The sequence below is a fragment of the Homo sapiens genome, chromosome 18, assembly GCF_000001405.40.
Source record: "Homo sapiens chromosome 18, GRCh38.p14 Primary Assembly".
Classification (NCBI taxonomy): Eukaryota; Metazoa; Chordata; class Mammalia; order Primates; family Hominidae; genus Homo; species Homo sapiens.
This window is the reverse complement of record NC_000018.10, coordinates 52,932,932-52,953,188: the sequence shown is the minus strand read 5'-3', so window position 1 is coordinate 52,953,188 and position 20,257 is coordinate 52,932,932. Positions and strand designations below refer to the sequence as shown.

The 20,257-nt window shown below is 36.7% G+C and overlaps 1 protein-coding gene across 5 annotated transcripts in view; it reads right to left on the bottom strand.

Moving 5' to 3' along the window:
- The window catches only part of DCC (DCC netrin 1 receptor), a 1,195,703-nt gene that overhangs the window by 582,711 nt on the left and 592,735 nt on the right, over positions 1-20,257 (bottom strand). The window contains exon 1 of one of the 5 annotated variants that reach the window (XM_011525844.3): positions 18,299-19,647. The exons of the other annotated variants lie outside the window; for them this stretch is intronic. The gene's annotated coding sequence lies outside the window, so the exon portion shown is untranslated. Of the gene's footprint in view, positions 1-18,298; positions 19,648-20,257 lie in introns of those variants that run through there. 5 annotated transcript variants of the gene reach the window in all.

Genomic DNA, 20,257 nt, shown 5'->3' with positions numbered 1-20,257 from the left:
CATTTAAAACGTAAATATTTGATAAGCATATCTTCTTTGAAAAGGGATGTTGGTTACTGCTTGGGGATTGAGCCAGAGACATATTTGACTTCACAACAGATAAAAATACCGTAGAATGATGTAAGGAATATTAGAGAGGTATTAAAGGCAATGTTATGAGTTTTTTTTTTTTTTTTTTTTTTTTTTTTGAGACAGGAGAGTCTTACTGTGGTGCCCAGGCTGGAGTGCAGTAGTGCAATCATAGCTAACTGCAGCCTTGACTTCCTGGGATCAATCAATTCTCCCACCTCAGCCTCTTGAGTAGCTGGGACTACAGGCATGTGTGACTGTGCTCAGCTAATTTTTAAATATTTGTAAGACAGGATCTCACTATGTTGCCGAGGATAGTCTTGAACTCCTGGCCTCAAGCAATCTTCCCACTTCGATCTCCCAAAGCACTGGGATTATAGGCACGAACAACCATGCCCAGCCTATTATAGGATTTAAATAAGTGAGAAATCATTTAAATGATTGTCAACATATAAAGAAGTAAATTAGCTCTGTTTATGGAAATGACACTAAGCACTACAAAAGCCAAAGCTATACAGACAAAAGGGGGTACTTGAGCTGAGTAGAAAGCTTTTCATACAATGAATGCAGTAACTTAAATTGGTATGGCCTTTCTAACTTCCTCATCACTTTTATATACCCTATTTTATGTAATCATCACAACAGTCCTGGAATATAAGTAGATAAGAAAATAGTTGGGGTCTTCTCCCTCCACACATTTTTTCTTGATCAAGCAGATTCCAAGTGTAGATTGTTAAATATCTGAGAAACACTTAAAGATGTGATGTGCATATGAGAGGAAGACATTAATAGAGGGGATGTTTACATTTCATTTTAGATACTGCTGAACTGTTTGAAGTTATTTTTAGTGTTCATATACTCCTTTTCAAGTTGAAAATACTTGAGAAAATATTCAGAAAAAGAAAACATTAAAATAAGGAAAATAAGGACACGGACAATTTAAGGCATAGAGAAAGGGAAAAAAATGCATTTCATTTGGAATATGAAAGATCACATTTTATGAACAGTGTGTCAGGTTAGAGAAGAAGTGATCATAATATATAGATTGATCTTTTTCAAAGCTAGATTAGCCCTAATACAAAATCATATAAACTTCCTCACAATAATTTTATCTACATCTATAGACCCAGCAAATGTGCACATCTTCATTGAAAATACTGCCCCATATCATACATACTAGTTGGGCATCCTTGAACAATTCACTGCAAATTTCTACACTTGCCTATATTCTCCTTATCATGGAAATAAGCATGGGTGCCTATCCAACTATTAGTAATAATAACACAAATTGTAATGTGTTTGCAATTTATGCAAAATGACACAATGTTGACCCTAATGCTATTGGAGATCTAACTACATATCTGGAGAATAAAACATTAATTAACATGTTCAGAATACTTAGCTATCATCAAGTTGAAATGATACTTTTCCCATAGGAGTCTACATACTGCTTTCCAAATATAAATTTATTTTGAAAAGACTTGTATGCAGCCATAAAAAAGAATGAGTTCATGCCCTTTGCAGGGACATGGATGAAGCTGGAAGCCATCATTCTCAGCAAACTAACACAGGAACAGAAAACCAAACACCGCATGTTCTCACTCATAAGTGAGAGTTGAGCAATGAGAACACAGGGACACAGGGAGGAGAATATCACACACCGGGACCTGTCGGGGGGTGGGAGGCAAGGGGAAGGAGAGCATTAGGACAAATATCTAATGCATGCAGGGCTTAAAACCTAGATGATGGGTTGATAGGTGCAGCAAACCACCGTGGCACATGTATACCTGTGTAACAAACCTGCACATTCTGCACATGCATTCCAGATTTTAAAGTTAAAAAAAAAGATTTGTAAAGTACATATGCCCTATGGAGGCAGGTTAGTGTAACAGAAATTCTGGACTAGAACTCTGAAAATAGAGATTCTCATGTCAGTGCCACTCCTGCCCACTGTGATTGAGGGCAAACTAACCCTCAAGGTCCGTGCATTCTCAACTGAAACATTACCGAACAGTGGCTTCTAGCTTGCTGGCAATGCAGGACCGAGCAACAAGCCAGGAGATGCTTTGGAATAAAAATCTGGAATTTTAGGAGAAAATGCTGATTATCCATTTCAAGGTGGTCATAGCTAAAGAGATATATTCAGACTTTTTTTTTTTTTTTTTTTTTTTTTTTTTTTTTTTTTTTTTTGAGACGGAGTCTCACTCTGTCGCCCAGGCTAGAGTGCAGTGGCGCGATCTGATCTCGGCTCACTGCAAGCTCCGCCTCCCGGGTTCACGCCATTCTCTTGCCACAGCCTCCCGAGTAGCTGGGACTACAGGCGCCCGCCACCACGCCCAGCTAATTTTTTTCTATTTTTAGTAGAGACGGGGTTTCACCGTGTTAGCCAGGATGGTCTCGATCTCCTGACCTCGTGATCCACCCCCCTCGGCCTCCCAAAGTGCTGGAATTACAGGCGTGAGCCACCACGCCCAGCCTATATTCAGTCTTGATATGCCCATATCCATAAGGTAAAAGATAGGGAGGCTTTTAAGTAACCGACTGTAACCCTTCTCTCTTGGTGAGTTAAATGGCCTGGCCACATTGATTTGACTTAAATATCTTTGGGTGTGAGTTATATAATCTATATCTCTCTTGTCCAAAGGAATTTGTTTAGAGCCTTCTGCTATCAAATTATATTCTATTGTCAGAGTGCTGATGCTCAGATGTGTTATAATGTGGTGATGGTTTTTAAAGAGTTGATTTATTACAAGGAAAGATGAGTCAGCCTGGCTGCATGACACACCCAGGATGGGAAAATGGCCATGGACAGGTTTGTATAGACACAGAGAGAGTAAGTCCAGAAATTAGAGTTTGTTTTCAATTAAGAGAGAGTAGGAAATTCAGGTTTCTGTGGAATTTCCCTAAAAGCCCCTATTCTGGGGGATAACTTGATGAATCAGGAGACAGATACAAAAATTTGATGGAGAGAAGTATAAAAAGAGCACGTAGATTATCAGGAAGATAATCACAGCCTTCAAACAATATAGAAATGGAAAGTTTAAGCTTCTAAATGGCAGAAAACAGCCAACCATGTCTCCAGTGCCAACCATGCCCCTGGTACCTAGCAGAGTGCCTGTGTACATAGGTCCTCAATAAATAATTGTCAAATAGGTGAGATGTCCCTGACTACTGTATTACTAATGGGGCTTTAGCCTTCTACATTCTTTTTTCTATGATGGAAATAAACTCAAATTGAGACTAAAGAGGTTAGAGGAGGGAACTTAGAAAAGGAAAGCCAGAAATATATTTACATGTGCCCAAACCTTTAAATGAAATGCTTTGGCAACAGGCAAAATATATTATCACCAAGATGTTATAATCTGAGACTCTGGCTCCTTGACAAGAGTGTTGCCACTGTCTGTCCTGCAGGTTCAAGAGAGCTGAGACCAGCACTGCTGAAAACCACTTTGAAGGCAAGAGGAAAGCAGTCATCTCTTTACCACACATACTTGGGTCATCAGAACTTAGGATTAAATCTTCAGGGCTATTTGAGGAATCATCAGCCATTGGCATTTCCTACTCACTGCTGACTCCAAGAAGCAACAAATTAGGGGAAAATAGAACTGAACAAATAATGGAAGTACAAATAATGGAAAACATATTAATGAGGAAGGATAAAACCTTGAGTATTCAAACTGTTCTTCTTGATTACATTTTGGGATGGTTCTGCCCCTAAGTAGGGGCAGGAGGGGAAGGAGGAAGAGCCTTTTCCCATTTCCAAGAAATGCCCTTCACTTTTCTTTTACCAGCAGTTTATGTGTATTTGCTTTCCGGCTGGGTCCTGATAAGCTTCAGAGTCAAGAACTCTTCTAGGCTTATGTGAGATACAAAGCAAATTGTTACAGCAGTCTCAGCCTCTCAAGTTGCTGACAGTACTTTAACAAGAGCTTGCAGTTCAAGCTTCCCTGTCCTTGTTTCTGGTTGAAGTCTCACAGCAATGATATGACTTGTGCAGGGCAGGGACTATTAATCACAGTTTAACAGATAAAGAAACAGGACTTGGCAATAGCCACATCTGGGATAAAAACCTGATATCTGTGACTATTAATTCAGTGAGTTTCCTGCTGTATCACAGAGGAAGCATGGCATGACTGGAGACAGCTTTGCATAAGGGTTACAAGCATGACATCTAGAGTTGCACTGATCTGGGTTTGAACCTTGATTTGGCCATTCCCTAGCTGTGTGACCAAGCAACACACTTAAGCTCTCAGAGACTTAGTTTTCTTACAGGTAGAATGGTGAACAACAACAACATATGACATATGAGGATTAAAGGAAATGATATATGTAAATGTTAAGAATAAAGTCTGCTGTAAAACAACCCTTCATGAATGTAGTGTTTATTAGTGTGATGAGAAGGGAAACTACACAGCAGCTGAAACATAGTCTCAAGGCTGAATGGCAAAGCAGGGGTGCCCCATAGGGATTCAGTTTTGGAGGAGAAGAAAGAAGGTGAACATGAATCCTAACTTGGACATCTATCAGTGATGTAGGCATGCCATTTAACCCTTTCTCAATCTAAGTCTTCTAATTTGTAAAATAGGGAGACAGATGTATACTGGGTTGTAATGAAGAGAAGCATAAATTCACATGAAATATATTGCACAGTATCCGGTATATAGCTAATGTTCAATAAATGATAGCTTTGAAAGATATTGATCATTATTCAATATCATTGTTCAATATCATTCATAATGATAGAAGCTCTTGTCTCATTATATTTTCCAATTTTGGGAAATAAGACACACACACACACACACACACATCAACACTGTGATAGAATTATGGATAAGAAACTTATGATTTCATTAAACATAATGATATTGGTAAAAGATAGGACTCAGGAATAACTTCTGCAGAGTCCCTATGAAGCTATTGTACACAAAAATAAAATACCCATGATATCACATGGAACAGCACACTGAAAATATATATCCTGAATCAGTAACAACATTCTTTTAGATTTTTCCAGTTACTATCTCCCTTTAAAAATTTTTCATACTGCTATTATTTTATTTAGCTAGAACGCCAACAGAGATATACATCTTTCTGTGTTTTGTTCATGATAATGTATTTTTTAAATGGTTAGATGCCTTTCTACCTTTTAGAGGTAGAAATTGTGGACGCTTGTCTTTCAGGTCTTACTTCATCTCAGTCCTTCTTAAATATGTCCCAGCTATCCTTACTGATACCACCACAGTGTCCTCTCCTCAAGGTTTGAAATTCAGTAAGAATCATTTAAGATTCTTGAACGTGCAATGTCAATGTTGCCGTGAGGTTGTCCTGCACTGGGAATGGACTTCAAGGAACCCAGGCAGCCAGGAGTAGCACAACTGTCTGGCAGCATGCATGGCATGGAACGGCCCCTTCCATAAGAGGTAGTCAACACATATCCCATGAGCAGACTGGATCCCACTTCCCAAAGTCCAAGCTGGAAAATGCTAAAACATTTAAAGAGTGATATGATTGCTTTTCATTTGCCTGACTGACCCAAGAGGCAGTGGGATACGTGTAGTTACACCTTCGCAGAGTGTAATGAGGTCAGTTACATTGAAAAAGTTTATAGAAACATCCTCAAGTGGACTGGAAAGTTCTTGCTATATCAGCTCTCCTACTACCCCTCAAGTCCAACTATAGGGAATTTCGTAGTCATGGATATCTTGCTTAAATCTGATGCCAAACTGGTCTTGCTTAGATGATGAAATTCAGGATTTGGACAATATAAGGAGTTGACTAGTACAAATATATAGACAGTTTGCATTGTATAAGAAAAAATGCAAACTTTTCTAAAAGGCTTCTAGTGGAATGTTATTTTTACATAATTTAGTTTTTACAAATTAAAGATGTTTTGTGTTAAAAACTACTTGCCCTAAACCCTGTTTTTCTAGGGATAGCTTAATTATATATTAATAAAACTCCCAGAAACTTGAATTCTTAATGTTTTGATACAAATATTCACACCAATGCAGAGACTCAAGATACAAGCAAGAGCAGTTTGTTAACTGCCACTCAGAGGAGTGTTTTAGATGGGATCGATATTGAGATAAGACCCAACAGGGCAATGAAGCAGGTGAGGTGAGTAGGTGAGCCATGCAGATGGGTGGTCAGATTCTGTGTTTAATATTTGTATATTTTGTTTATTATGGATGTTTGCGTTGATTTTGCTTTTCAAAAATTAAGTATTAAAATATGTATCTTTATTACGAGATTTTTGGCACCTCTTAAATTTTGCACCTCACCTGCCTTACCCTAATTTTGGCCCTGGATTAAATTATTGATCACAATTCTTCATATGTCTGCATTAACATTCTTGCCAAGTTTTCAAGGTGGGTGGAAGTTACTTTCCACCCCTGGACTTTGGGCTTGGCCAAGGTGGATGTTTGCAGATGGAATGTAAGAAGAGCTGAAATGTGTTTGCATTGTGGAGCTTTCTCCCTTGAATTTCTGCTATCACCATGGAAAGAAAATGCCTCAGGTAGCTGTAGTCCCTTCTGCCTATGACCCAGAAGAAGCACACAGGGCAGACTTGAACCCAATCTACGATCTAAATCCCATAGCCCAGATGAACTGCCACCAACCCAAAGACCCATCATCTTGAGAAAAAAAAAATGTCATTTTAAGTTGCTAAGTTTTAGGTAGTGTGTTAGACAGTATTATTGCGGCAATACCTACGTAGTACAGAAGGGAAATAGGAAGTATGCTTCTCTACCTCCACCATACATTTTTCTAAAAAACAGTTCATTTCACTTATCAACAAATGTTTATCATGCAACTCAATCTAATAAGCACTGGAATTACAGAGATGGATTAATAGGCTGATCTCTGGTCATCAGAAGTTTACTGTCTTGTAGGGAAAAGGCTGTAAACAAAGAGGTACAATTAGTTGTTACAGATGCTGCTATGTAAATCTGTACTTGATTCAGTGGACACAGAGTTTAAAAGTTGTTAAACCTACCTGGAGAGAAAAATGGAAGAGGTGATGACTATATTGAGTCATACCAAATTGTAAACCTAGATGTTCACAGAGGCCAGATGAATACAAAGGAAGGCAGGGGAACTGTGACCTGAAGAGCACATGTTCCTCTAGCAGGGAAGTTGCCCCTTAGCCCCGGCCAATTGTTACTAGTCAGGAATGGAAGTTCCAGGTTGCCATGTCTTCTAGTTTTCCAGAGGAATTCAGATGATTCTGCAAAATTTTCTAATTCAAAACTACTGGCCACGAATTGAAGCTATTTCTACTTACTAGGCCAAAACAAACAAAGCCTGTAGGCTACATTTGGACGTTAGGTTGTCAGTTTGTGACCCATGGTTGACAAGCAGTGGACAGCTTGGGGGAGGCTGTGTCAGCTTGTGCACTGCACAGAGGTCTCTGCCCAGGGACAAGTGGAGCTGACATCCAGCCTTCAGCTCAGCTCTCTAAGCCAGTGCACACTGGCAGTGCCAGCATCAACTCAGAAGAATTGGTGCTCTTTTTTGTAATTTGATTAAAGGCATTTAGGGGCATTTCTAAAAATTCATTTCATGTCTTAAGAGCAACAATAATAAAGCAATAATAGAAATAATGAAAATGTCTAATGCCCTAGAAATGAACTTCTAGTTATCTGTAATTTTAGATATCCTCTCTAATATGCCAGATAGCATATTTATTTCCTCTAACGACTATGCAAATTTAAGTCTAGGAATAATTTATAATATTCTTTCAGAAAGCAGACTGTGTTCATATATTTTCACTATTAAATTTGTGTAGTGTAGAAAAATGTGTTTAGAAGAAACATAACACATTTACCTTTCTATAAAGATCATCTATCTTAAGCATTGTTCATATAAATCTTAGAAAGGTATTTTTTCTTGTTAAAACCTAAGTTCATATTTTTAAAGGAAACAATAGCACCAGCAACAGAGGTTGGGGGCATAATTGTCAAATTATTTTTAGAGGTTACTTTGGAGAATAATTGTCAAATCTAGCAGGAATGTGTGACTGGTCTTCATTTATAAATGGCATGTCACAATATGGTAACATGATATTTATCCCATATTGTGCAGAAATTGAGTATTTTAGAACACAAGTGGATTTCACAGCTCAAGGTTACCACTTCAAATGCCCCCAAGAAAGATGATGAGAAGCTATTTGAGATATATGATTTATCTGCCTTCATAAACAGACTAAAATAAATAGACAACTAAAACTTTGGATACTCTTTTCTTATCATAAATACCAACTTATGATGTAATAAAACAGAGCCTTCAGTGGGAGATGAAGTTGTTGATCCACACACTAAATGACCCTTGATCAAGTCTACAGTCCAGTGGTTCTCCTGTATCAGAATCACCCAGATGAAACAGATTGCTGATTCTCTTCCTGTATAGTTTATTTTCAGTAGCTCTGGGGTAGAAGGGGGAAGATATCCAAAATTTTGCATTTCTAACCTATTTCCCATGTGATCCTGTTTCTGGTCTGGAGACTACTCTTAAAGCTCCAGTGCTATAGACTTCTTTTGCTTTTTAATACATTTTTTACCTCCCACTCCTTCTCCTGTCACTTATCAGGGCTTTCTATATGCTTTTGCTTGTAAAACTCTTAAAGAAAAACTGGGACTTCTCTGGCTTCTTCGGACAAATATTGTGCCTTTAGGCTCAGATTTTATTTGCAGCAATTGCACAGCTAGTTTTGGATGCAGAAACGGTGCTGCAGTTCCAGGTCCTGAGTGATCCTGCCTTTAACTTTCAGCCTTAGCTGAACTCTGGAATTCGAAGTATCATTTCCTACAAAGTATAGACAATCCCTCAGATCTAACATCCTAAGTTATCTTCTCAGATTGCCAAAATATTGTTCTCATCGTAATAGGCAAACATGGATTTTAAGCATCACATTACCAGGGAAGCGTCTCTTCTTCCATCACTTTTCTTATTCCTTGTGTAAAGTGAGACTGAGAAATGTTATTAGAATGATTTTTTATTTTACTATTTAAAACCCAAGTTAGTTGTCAAACTTTGATATTTTCATTAACCACTAGTTGTCAAGCCAGAGGTGGTGGCTGATGCCTGTAATCCTAGCACTTTGAGAGGCTGAGGAAGGCAGATCACTTGAGGTTAGGAGTTCGAGACCAATTTGGCCAACATGGCAAAACTCTGCCTCTAATAAAAATACAGAAAAAAAGTCGTTAGCCGGTTGTCGTGGCAGGCACCTGCGGCCCCAGCTGCTCAGGAGGCTGAGGCAGGAGAATCACTTGAACCCAGGAGGCGGAAGCTACAGTGAGCCAAGATCACACCACTGCACTTCAGTCTGGGTGACAGAGTGAGACTCCATCTCAAACAAAACAAAACAAACAAAAAAAAAAACCATAAATTGCCAGTCCTTTGGAAAATTACAATTTACAACATAAACTCAGAATATCCTCTACAGTTTTTATGAATGCCAGAAAATAAAAATAAATGTGAAACATTCATTCTTGTCTTAAAATATTTAAATTTTAACTGTAAATACATATGGTCCTTGTGTAAATGATGCAGAAAGTGCTTTCATGCATCAATTAAAAAAACACAGCGATATAGAGATTACAAAACATTTTTACTGTTTGTACCCTTGAACTCTCAGATGTACTCTTCAAATAGTTCACTAAACATCAGTCATTCTCTTGCCATGTCACCTTCTACTTCTGTCACTGAACAATTAACATGCTTATATGGACATGATTAAATATGCACAGTAATTACAGCAGATAGGATGAAAAATCAAAGGAAAATTTCAAAAACAATTCTACATAAAGAAAATGTACCTGGCATGAAAGTACTATTATTAATGAAATCCAAAGGAGAAAGAGGCAGCAGAAATAATGGCATTCTAAATTCTCTATCAGCCTTTCATACATTTAAATACCTATTTCTATCAGTCTAAAGTTAATTGCTTGTAAAATTTATAATAGTGCTTCTATCTTCTGAGTTGCACTAAAATTAAAACAAAAACTATATAGTAAAAGATACAAACAAACATCAAAATGGTATTAAAACAAAAGAGGTATAAATAACAAAGAGGAAATAATCACAATAATTTGAATGCATACTCTGTGGCAGGCATTTTATTAAGTATTTTATATCTACCATTAAATTAAAATCTTCATACAACTTTGTAATATAGCTAATAAACAGTATCAATATTCAAAGCCAGACCCTGTTTGCTTCAAATATCTCATGATAATTATTTTGTATGTGACAACAAATATGAACAAGCCAAACCCTCCTTGGAAAAGGCAAAATATTTCAAATTGGTAAGTGATATGGTTTGGCTCTGTGTCCCCACCCAAATCTCATGTTGAATTGTACTTCCATAATTCCTACATGTTGTGGGAGGGACCTGGCGGGAGATAATTTGAATCATGGAGGAGGTTCCCCCATGCTGTTTTCACGGTAGTGAATAAGTCTTACAAGATCTGATGGTTTTATCAGGGGTTTGTGCTTTTGCATCTCTCTTTCTCTTTTGCCACTGCCATGTAAGAAGTGCCTTTTGCCCCACCATGATTCTGAGCCTTCCCAGCCATGTGGAACTGTAAGTCCAATTAAACCTCTTTTTCTTTCCAGCCCCGATTATGTCTTTATCAGCAGCATGAAAATAGTTAGATATGAACAAACATAGGAGGCACCCACATGCTATTAAAAGACACACCTAAAACAGTCTTTCCATACTAAATAGTATTAAAATATAAAACAAAAGGCATTGGAAATAAAATGGGATATTTAAAGAAATAATGTATTAGAAAAGTGGTTACTTCATGAGTTGAACAAACTTGAATATTAAACCAGATTAAGACAGAAAACAAAAGATGTATAGACTAAATTAATTTTAATATATAAAAACCCTAAACATGGATAAACTGAATTTTACATTATATTAGTATTTTCATATTATTTTGATTAAAAAATACCTATCTCAAACCAACAGTCTACATAATTAGTGGCAAAATCCTGCAGGCAGTAATTACTTTTAAAAATCAGAAAATGGGCCAGGCGCAGTGGCTCACACTTGTAATCCCAGCACTTTGGGAAGCCAAGGTGGGCACACCACCTGAGGTAAGAAGTTCTAGACCACCCTGGCTAACATGGTGAAACCTTGTCTCTACTAAAAATACAAAAATTAGCCGGGCATGGTGGCAGGTGCCTGTAATCCAAGCTACTTGGGAGGCTGAGGCAGGAGAATTGCTTGAACCTGGCAGGCAGAGATTGCAGTGAGCCAAGATGACACCACTGCACTCCAGCCTGGGTGACAGAGCAAGACTCCATCTCAAAAGAAAAAAATAAAATAAAAAAATAAACATCAGAAAATATGAAATATATAAACTACATGTAAGTAGTACAGTGAAATATTAATAGTAGTCTCTTTGGTGAATGAAGCTACATGTAATTTTTGTCTACTTTTCTGTATTTTCAAATTTACCTATAATGCTTACATGTTTCTTTAATGACAAAATATTTCCTTTTAAAAGGAAAGCAAATATAAATGTATACATGTATATGCATATATAGTGTGTGTATATGAGCGCATTTTTACATATATGCATACAAGTGTGTATATATATATATACACACACACACACACAAACATGTATATATGTATGTTAAAGAATATTTAAAAACTATAATACGGTATTAGTCATCAATTCCTGGACTTCATTTTTTATAAAGATGCATAATTTTTCATATTGCCCTGAGTACTACCTTTATTAAACACTAAAATATCCATAATAATCTACAGCTTCCCTTTTATAAACCATTTGGAATCTCATCTTCCATAAATATATATTTTTTTGTTCCTGATTATCTTTCCAGTTCATGAACCCTCTAGAAGGGAACAGCATCAGTAAATTTACTATAGGCTATATTAAAAAGACTTAAACTTTTTTTCTTTGTCCTAAAAGTACCTTCAAGCTTCAGGAGAGTTCTCCTACAGTATTCTTGAATTTGTTGAACAAGTCCATGTTTCAGTTACTAATATCCTTCATGGTCAGGAATTTGATTGTGTCCCTTTTCACCCATCATTTTTCTGTGCTGAAAATTTCTCATCTGGTCTTACTATAATATTTCATTCCTTTGATCATTTCAGTTAACCTTTGAGGCCTTTCCAACTGCCTTATGACCTTACCAGAATGTACTCAGTAGAACTTTGAACTCTACTCCAAGTACTAAAATACTACTCTGTTCAAACATAAACAACATCTTGTAATTCTGCTTTCCTCCAGTTTTATCCTGGTGATCTCTGGCATTTGATTGACCTTTTGAACTGCCACACTCCATTGGACTGTCTTCAAGGGATAGCTGACATCAATTAAGATATCTTTTCTTCTAGAAATAAGTGATAGCAGAAAGAGTACATCATCATATCAGCATAGTTTGTATTATATTTCCCTAGATATATTAAATTACACTTTCCACAGCTGAAATTTATCTGCTATTATTTTCCCCATTCACACAGCTTTACCAAATATTCTTGTCTCCCCAGCTAGAACAGCTTCAGAGTCATCTGCAAACTTAAAGATCTGTCTCAGTGCAGTCATAATGGCCCATCCTCCAGGGGAGCACATTCTACCAATCAGCGTAAATAGAATCATGGTGGAGCTACTTTTGTTCTACTTTGGGCTTAGTCCAATTTCATGTTCTGTCACTAATCTTATGTACACAAGGGATATTTTAAGAATTTGAGTGAAAGTGGTCGAGACAAGAAGATCTAGTCTGCCTGAAGGCTATCTACCCCTACTCTGACTTCTTACTCTGGTCTCTGCCTCGACTGTTCTTCCTTATCATGATGCCCCTCCCTTATACTCCAATTTTAATAAGAGATCCATCATTTTATACAAGGCCTACTAAACCTACTTTTGTTCGTTGGTTTGGTTTCTGAATATAAATGTCTTGCCTTACTCTTGTTAACATTCCATTTCCTTTACTTACCACCAGATGGTCTTCCTTTTCTCAAAGCAGTGTTTAAGAATCACTTGGAAGACTTACTAAGGCACAGTTTCCTGGGACCCAACCCTACAGGTTCTGTTTCAGCAGGCTGAGGTGAGGCCAGTGAATTTTCATTTCTAAGAGGCTCATGGATGATGTCAATGCTGCTGGTCTGAAGACCACACATTGAGAAATACACATTATACAAAGATTACACCAAATTGCACAATGTTCTATTTTTTGTTTGACAGAAGAATCCCTGATAATCTACTTGTTTGACCAGCTCATTTGGGTTATCCTGGTATTCTTTTCTGCACCCAAGGGCCCCCTATTCTTTCCTCTGACCATGGTATGAGAAAGGAAAACAATGTCAATTCAAGTTCTACTTTCTGGCATGATGATGATGATGATGAAAATGATGATAATGAGGAGCCTCAATTTCTTCATCTTTAAAGTGGAGAGAAAAATAAATATTAAAAATAGTATCTCCATAATATATTGAGACTATGAAAAGAGAAATCAAGGCATTGTGCAAAGTGCCTGGCACATAATGGGTGCCCAATAAATGTCTGTTATGAAAACATCAATGTGGATGATGATGGTAACAAATCATTCAGAGTTTATTTATTTATATGTTTTTGGGGACATAGTAAGTAAAACAGTACATAAAATAAGGACTTCACTCCAGTGGGGTTTATATTTCACTGGGGAGACAAAAAAACAACAGTTAATAAACAAGTAGATAATAACAGACTGTGATAAGTTATACAAAGGAAAATAAATAACTGCATAACAGTAACTATGAGAGATGGTCTTAATCAGAATGGACAAGGACAACCCCCATAAAAAGGTAGCATTTGGGCTATGATCCAGTCGAAGAGTCAGCCACAAGAAGAGCTGAGAGAAGAGAATTCTAGACATATGGGGAGCTTCCCAAATATCCTGAGACTGGGAATTGTTTAGTGCATATAAGGGGAAAGCAGGAGCTATATTGATAGATCCTAGTGAATAATGGTAGAATGTGATGAAGTTAGAAAGGTGAAGACAAACCAAATCCCACAGTGGTTTGTAGGATGTGATAGAGAGATTGTAGTTTAGTCTAAGAAAAAAGTGGAAGTCCCTTGAGAGTTTCTACGAAGGTGCATCCCATGATTAACCTCTTCACAAGATCATACTGGATGAAAATGGGTTATAGAAAGGCAAGAATGGAAGAGAGACAAGTTAGGAGGTTTTAGGACTGGTCCAGGTTATGAATAAGAGCAGTTGGATGGGGGAAGAGATAAGGTGGGGGAAGTCAGAATGAAGACAAGTGGACAGATTTGAAATATATTTTGGAGATTGAACTGTTATGGATTTAATGTAAGGTATAAGAAAAAGAGGGCTTAAGGCTGATGACTAGGTTTAATATATTGCAACACTGAGGCCATATTCATTAAACCAAATCCTATTTACTTATTTTGACAGTTTTCATATGTATTATATATGTGAGTGATTAATATTCCTTCTTATCCAAAGCTAACTTAATTGTGAATGCTTATTTTCTGGGTTATTTTCTTAATAACTTACAATGTTGATATTTTTCTTAGTATTTGGCAAGGTATAAATAATGATACTATGATTCTTGAGCTCCCCTCAAGAAAGTCTGTAGTATTTTTAGCTCAAATTATTTTTCTTAAATAATAATAGTGTATATTTCTAGAATGCTTCACATGTTCCAGACCCTGGTTCAAACCCAAACAACTAGGATGTACAGCTTATTGCCACTACCAGACATCACTCATCTTCTCTCACTACTATTGCTCTACTCCCACTTCCACAGTTTGGTTCATGATCACATATGCTGTGATAAATCTCACTGTCTTGCTTAATTAAGTTCTAATGTCTGTCTTTAGAATTACAATACCTATGGTATGAATCTTTATCACAGATTTTTTCCTCCACCTTGAGTTTTTCTAAAATATTAGCAGATATGAAGAGTCACTGACCTCAGCCAAGCATCAAACTTATGACACATGATCTGAATGAGACTTGCTATTCTGAGTTTGAGTAATCACGGAGAATGCGTGTCATAACAATGTATTAAAAAACAATGATTATGATGCCACTTATAAAGTATTTGTGTATCTAGGCACTGAGCTGGAGTTGCCTTGAACATGGACTATTTCACCGGGTCTAATCTTGGTAACAACTCTGCAGGTTAGGTGTCACTCGCTCACTGTACAAAGTTTAGAGTCCGAATGATATGTCATGGCCGCTTACCCAATAACACCCTCAAGTGTACACTGGAGTAGGTTGGAGGAGTAAAAAAAGTCACAAGTGGCAGAAGGAAGAGGTATGGATAGAATTTAAGACAAAAGTCACATTGGCTGGGTGTGGTAACTCATGCCTGTAATCCCAGCACTTTGTCCTGGCTGAGGATTACTGACTCCAGGGGTTCAAAACCAGCCTCGGCAATATAGTGAGACCTCAACTCTACAAAAAAATTTTTTTTAAATTAGCCAGGTGTGGTGGTGTGCACCTGTAGCCCCAGATACTTGAGAGACTGAGGCGGAGATAGCAGTGAGCAGAGATCACGCCACTGCACCTCAGCCTGGGAAACAGAGAGACCTTGTCTCACCAAATAAAGTCACAATCATACAAATGCTCTTGATTTTAGGGGAGATAACTGATAAGCATAAATTGTCCATTAAACAAAAAGGCTTACAGTGGAAAATGGGAACTGAATTGTTCCTCCATTTACATGGAAGGGAATGAGGAGGTAGTAGGTTGGTACAAAAATAATTGTGTTTTTGCCATTGCTTTTAAGGGCAAAAACCACAATTACTTTTGCACCAACCTAATAGGAAGAAGAAAAACTCATTCACTGCTATCTTCTTCTGAGTCAAGAATGTCATATATTATTTTATTGTTTTAAAAATAAGAAAAATCTCCCTCTTTGCATTCTACCTGCCTGCACATATATACATAATGACTCACTGTAACCTCAGAGAAATATAAACACTCATATACCACGGGTGGAATGTGAAATTGTGTCACTGGTTTAAAACACCATCTGGTAGTTCCTCAAATTACCAAGCATTGTTTGGTAATCCAGCAATTCTACTCCTTTGGTGATTCCCTGCTCAAATACACTATACTTAAAATAAAAATGAGTCCATACCTTACTACATAAAGTTACTGAAATGATTGCACCAAGATATATTGAATAAAAAATCAGAAAAACATTTATTTAAAAGTGTATGAAGAAATGGCATATATTGCTCCCTAGTCTTTGAAAATTGGCAACCATAACTGATCCTAACTCTTGCTGACTTTGTTTAAAACATTTCTGTCTAATGTGGTTTGAGTCTTATCACAGAGTCAAACTCCTTCTGGGATGATGTCTACTTCCGTTTCTTCAGGGCAACTTTAGCATAAAATGCCCTCTTGGGCAGCTTTCCACCACTGTCAGCAGTTCTCCTCCTTGTGAGCCACAGATTGTCAATTCACCTTGCTTAGATTGTTAGGGATAATTAAAATTATATTCTTAGATTGCCTTTTTAATGGTCTGTATTAGTACATAGACTTTGCTTTTCCCTCGGGGGCCTCTACTTCATTTGTCCAAGAAAGAAAAAATTAGACTCATCATCATCTCAATAATATATGCAAAGCAATGCTCACATTATTTTCTCCAGTGGAAGGGAGAAAGGAAAGGGAGGGCCCAGCACACAGTAGACTCTCAAATAAATATTTGTGTAATAAATAAACCTATCCTACCACCAATCCAACTTGTATTTCCATTACCAGTTCTAACTCCCAACTGAAATAACGAATCATTTTGCTACCAACAAACAGTCTGAACTTACATTGTCTCTTCTTCTAATTCATATAAATATTCAACAGAATCTTTTAAACATATTTTGCACTTAATTTTGCATACCTTTTGACAACCAGAGTTTCAGCTGAGGAAAATAACTAAGATAAGTAATCTGCATAGCAATGGGAAGAAGCACCTAATAGGTGGGATTTAATAGTTTTCTTGATTTAATTCTGCCTTATATTACACACCTGTATCCTACATTTAGGATCAAAACCCTACATACAAAAACTCTCTTAACTCATTTCAGTATGATTCATTTGGTAATTACATTGTAGAGGATAATCAATACAAACGTACCTAAGGCACTTCTTTTATGACTATTATCATTAAATGTATATGACTGAGGAGTCCTGTTAATAAGGGCAATTACAGATATATGTAAAATTTAAGGACTGCTACGTAGGCAGAGGCAATGATGTTGTAAATTCAAAAGAACTCCATTCAAAATAAGAATTACACATTGCAATAAAAAGATAAATATTATCTTAACATATTTTATTATAACTACTTCCCATTTATGGCAAAGAGCCTAAACCTAAAACTCAACATGGTTGATCTACCAGCAAGCTGAAGTAGGAAGAGACTGAACACCCAAGTCTGAGGTAGATGAACCACTAACCTCAAGCAAATGGATAGGTAAAATTTGGCCAATAATACATGCTCAAAAAATAGCAGCTAATATCACATATTGTTCCGTAAAAAATAAAATTAAAGCCTATGCAAAAAATAAAAGGAAAAAAGCCATATCAATTTTGAAGTATATGTTTTCTTCCATTTCCAAACAAATCTGAATTGATGGTGTGTGAAGATATACATGCTTGTTTGTAGTAAATTGAATTCATAGAGCATATCTGAGAATTGATTTAAAAAAGAATACAATTTCATCACAGTTAATGATATATTTACTATTAAATTGATATAGGTCATTTATAAATATAAGACCTAAAATATATATCATACCTTACACTTAGTAATTATTAAATAAAGGGATGATAGCGAACAAAAATAAGATGAAAGGACATCAAATTTATAAGGATCTAAGAACTACACAAGACCTATTATGTAAATGAGCAATTATTTTTGATCCACTGCTATTGTAAATGGGAATTTTTTACACTCCTAGAAATCTAAGATTATTTGTGCTACCAATATGTAAGCAATGTTGATAATATAAGTCTTCATTGTTGCTCACTTTTGATAAAAAAGACCAAAGAATCTTTTTAGCAGTTGTTCTATTTTTAGTGATTGTTCTGTAACGCATACAGCATCTACCTTTTCTGTAGTTGTGTTAGTCTTCTTAGACTGCCATAACAAAATACAACAGACTGGGTGGCTTAGACACACAAATGTACTTTCTTATAGCTCTGGAGATTAGGAAGTTCAAGATCAAGGTACCAGCAAAGTTGGCTTCTAGTAAGGGTCCTCTCCCTGGCTTCCAGACAACACCTTCTCTGTTCTCACATGGCCTTTTCTCTCTGTGCAAGGGTGGAGAGAGTGCTCCAGTAACTCTTCTTCTTAAAAGGGCATTATTCCTATTGGATAGGCATCCCCTCATTATGACATCATTTAATTTTAGTTACTCATTTAAAGAAAGGCCTTTCTCCAAATACAGTCACATTGGGGGTTAGGATTTCAACATATGAATTTCGAAAGGACATAATTCTGTCCATTGCAGTGGTCAATGAAAAAATCATGAATCTCAATGGAAAGCTTACAAAACATTTCGATAGGAAGTTAGATAATTTATATTTTATGCACATTCAATTGCATTTCTTATGCTTAAAACTCAGATAACATAGATAAAAATCTAAGGGTTTGAGTGATCAAAATGTAGAAGACATGGCTTCTGTTTTTAAGTTTCTCCCTATCTAGCTGTGAAGAAAGCATGAACAGCAAGGTGTAGAAGCACAGAAAAAAGTGAAATACATAAAACACATCACAAATGGACATCATCTTTTTCCCACAGAGGGATGTCTATGTTTCTAGAGATTACTGCCAAAGAAATTTCAATGTATCACTAGATATTGTTATATTGATCACTAGATATTGTTATATTGATCACTAGATACTGTTATATTGATCACTAGATATTGTTATATCAATCGCGCCATAATTCATGAGAACTACGTAGGGACTAGTTGCTGTTATGTACATTTTATAGATAATGATAATTGGATATGAAAAAGTACATAGAATATTTTAATATTTGTGACATTTGGGATGTCTTGGTTTGTTTAGCTAGCTTAATCTTTCCAACTGGCTTTAGGCTTCTCATGAAGGCTAGGAGGGGATCTTATATTACTTTATTTCCCAGAACACCCAAAGCTGTGCCTGATTATTCTGGAATCTCTCTCCTCTACTTTTCACACTCAAACGGACACCAAATCCTATGATAAAGTAATTATCATTGTTTTACAAACGAATAAGAAATTACTTAATAGGTGCGATGTACACTATCCAGGTGATGTTATACTAAAAGCCCAGACTTCACCATGATGGGAAATATCCAGGTAACAAAACTGCACTTGTAGCTCCTAAAGCTCTACAAATATGAAGAAAATAATGAAGGAATTGAAGATTAGAGGTTTACATAGCTGGCTAAAATTAAATAGCTCACAAGCCACAATCAGAAATCTTTCCATATGTTTCCACTGCCCTTAAGATAAATCTAACCACATGAGCAAAATACTCAAGACCTATATGGATTCTCCCATCCAGCATCAGATTCCTTTGTACCCACAATCTTTAGTCACATAATTCACTTCCCGTTCCCCATCCCGCTTATTTCCAGACCTTTGCACATTTACTACCTCCTGTCAGATACTCTCCCCTCAACACTCCCTCCCCCATTCTCATACTCTCCCCTCACCACTCCCTCCCCCATTCTCTCATCTTTGTTGCATTCTTTATTCAGGGTCCCTTGTCTTCCTCTTTCTCAACAGCTCTTCGGCCTTGTTAGCAATTGCCTGCTTCTTGTCTTTTTCCCTACCTATCCTTGAGGCTTGGATCTGTGTCATATCTTCTTATGCCCAAAGACTACTTGGCGGAATGCTTAGTACACAAGAGGCACTCAACAGTTGGTTGCTAGTTTTCTACTCACACTGTGGTTCAGCTGCATATCTAGGACTAGAAACTATATTCATTAGCTCACCGTATATCCAGCCATATGTTTCAAAATTTCCAAAGCATTTTGAGCAATGAGCTATTAAGGTGAACTTTTCCAGCTATCTTACAAAACAATAATGTTTAACAGGGGTATTTAACTTCACCCATATATCTTTATTTGGCCTCTTCTTAAATCACTTTTAAGATGATTTTTCTAGACCTTTCTGAATAGCTTAGTCTATTATCTAT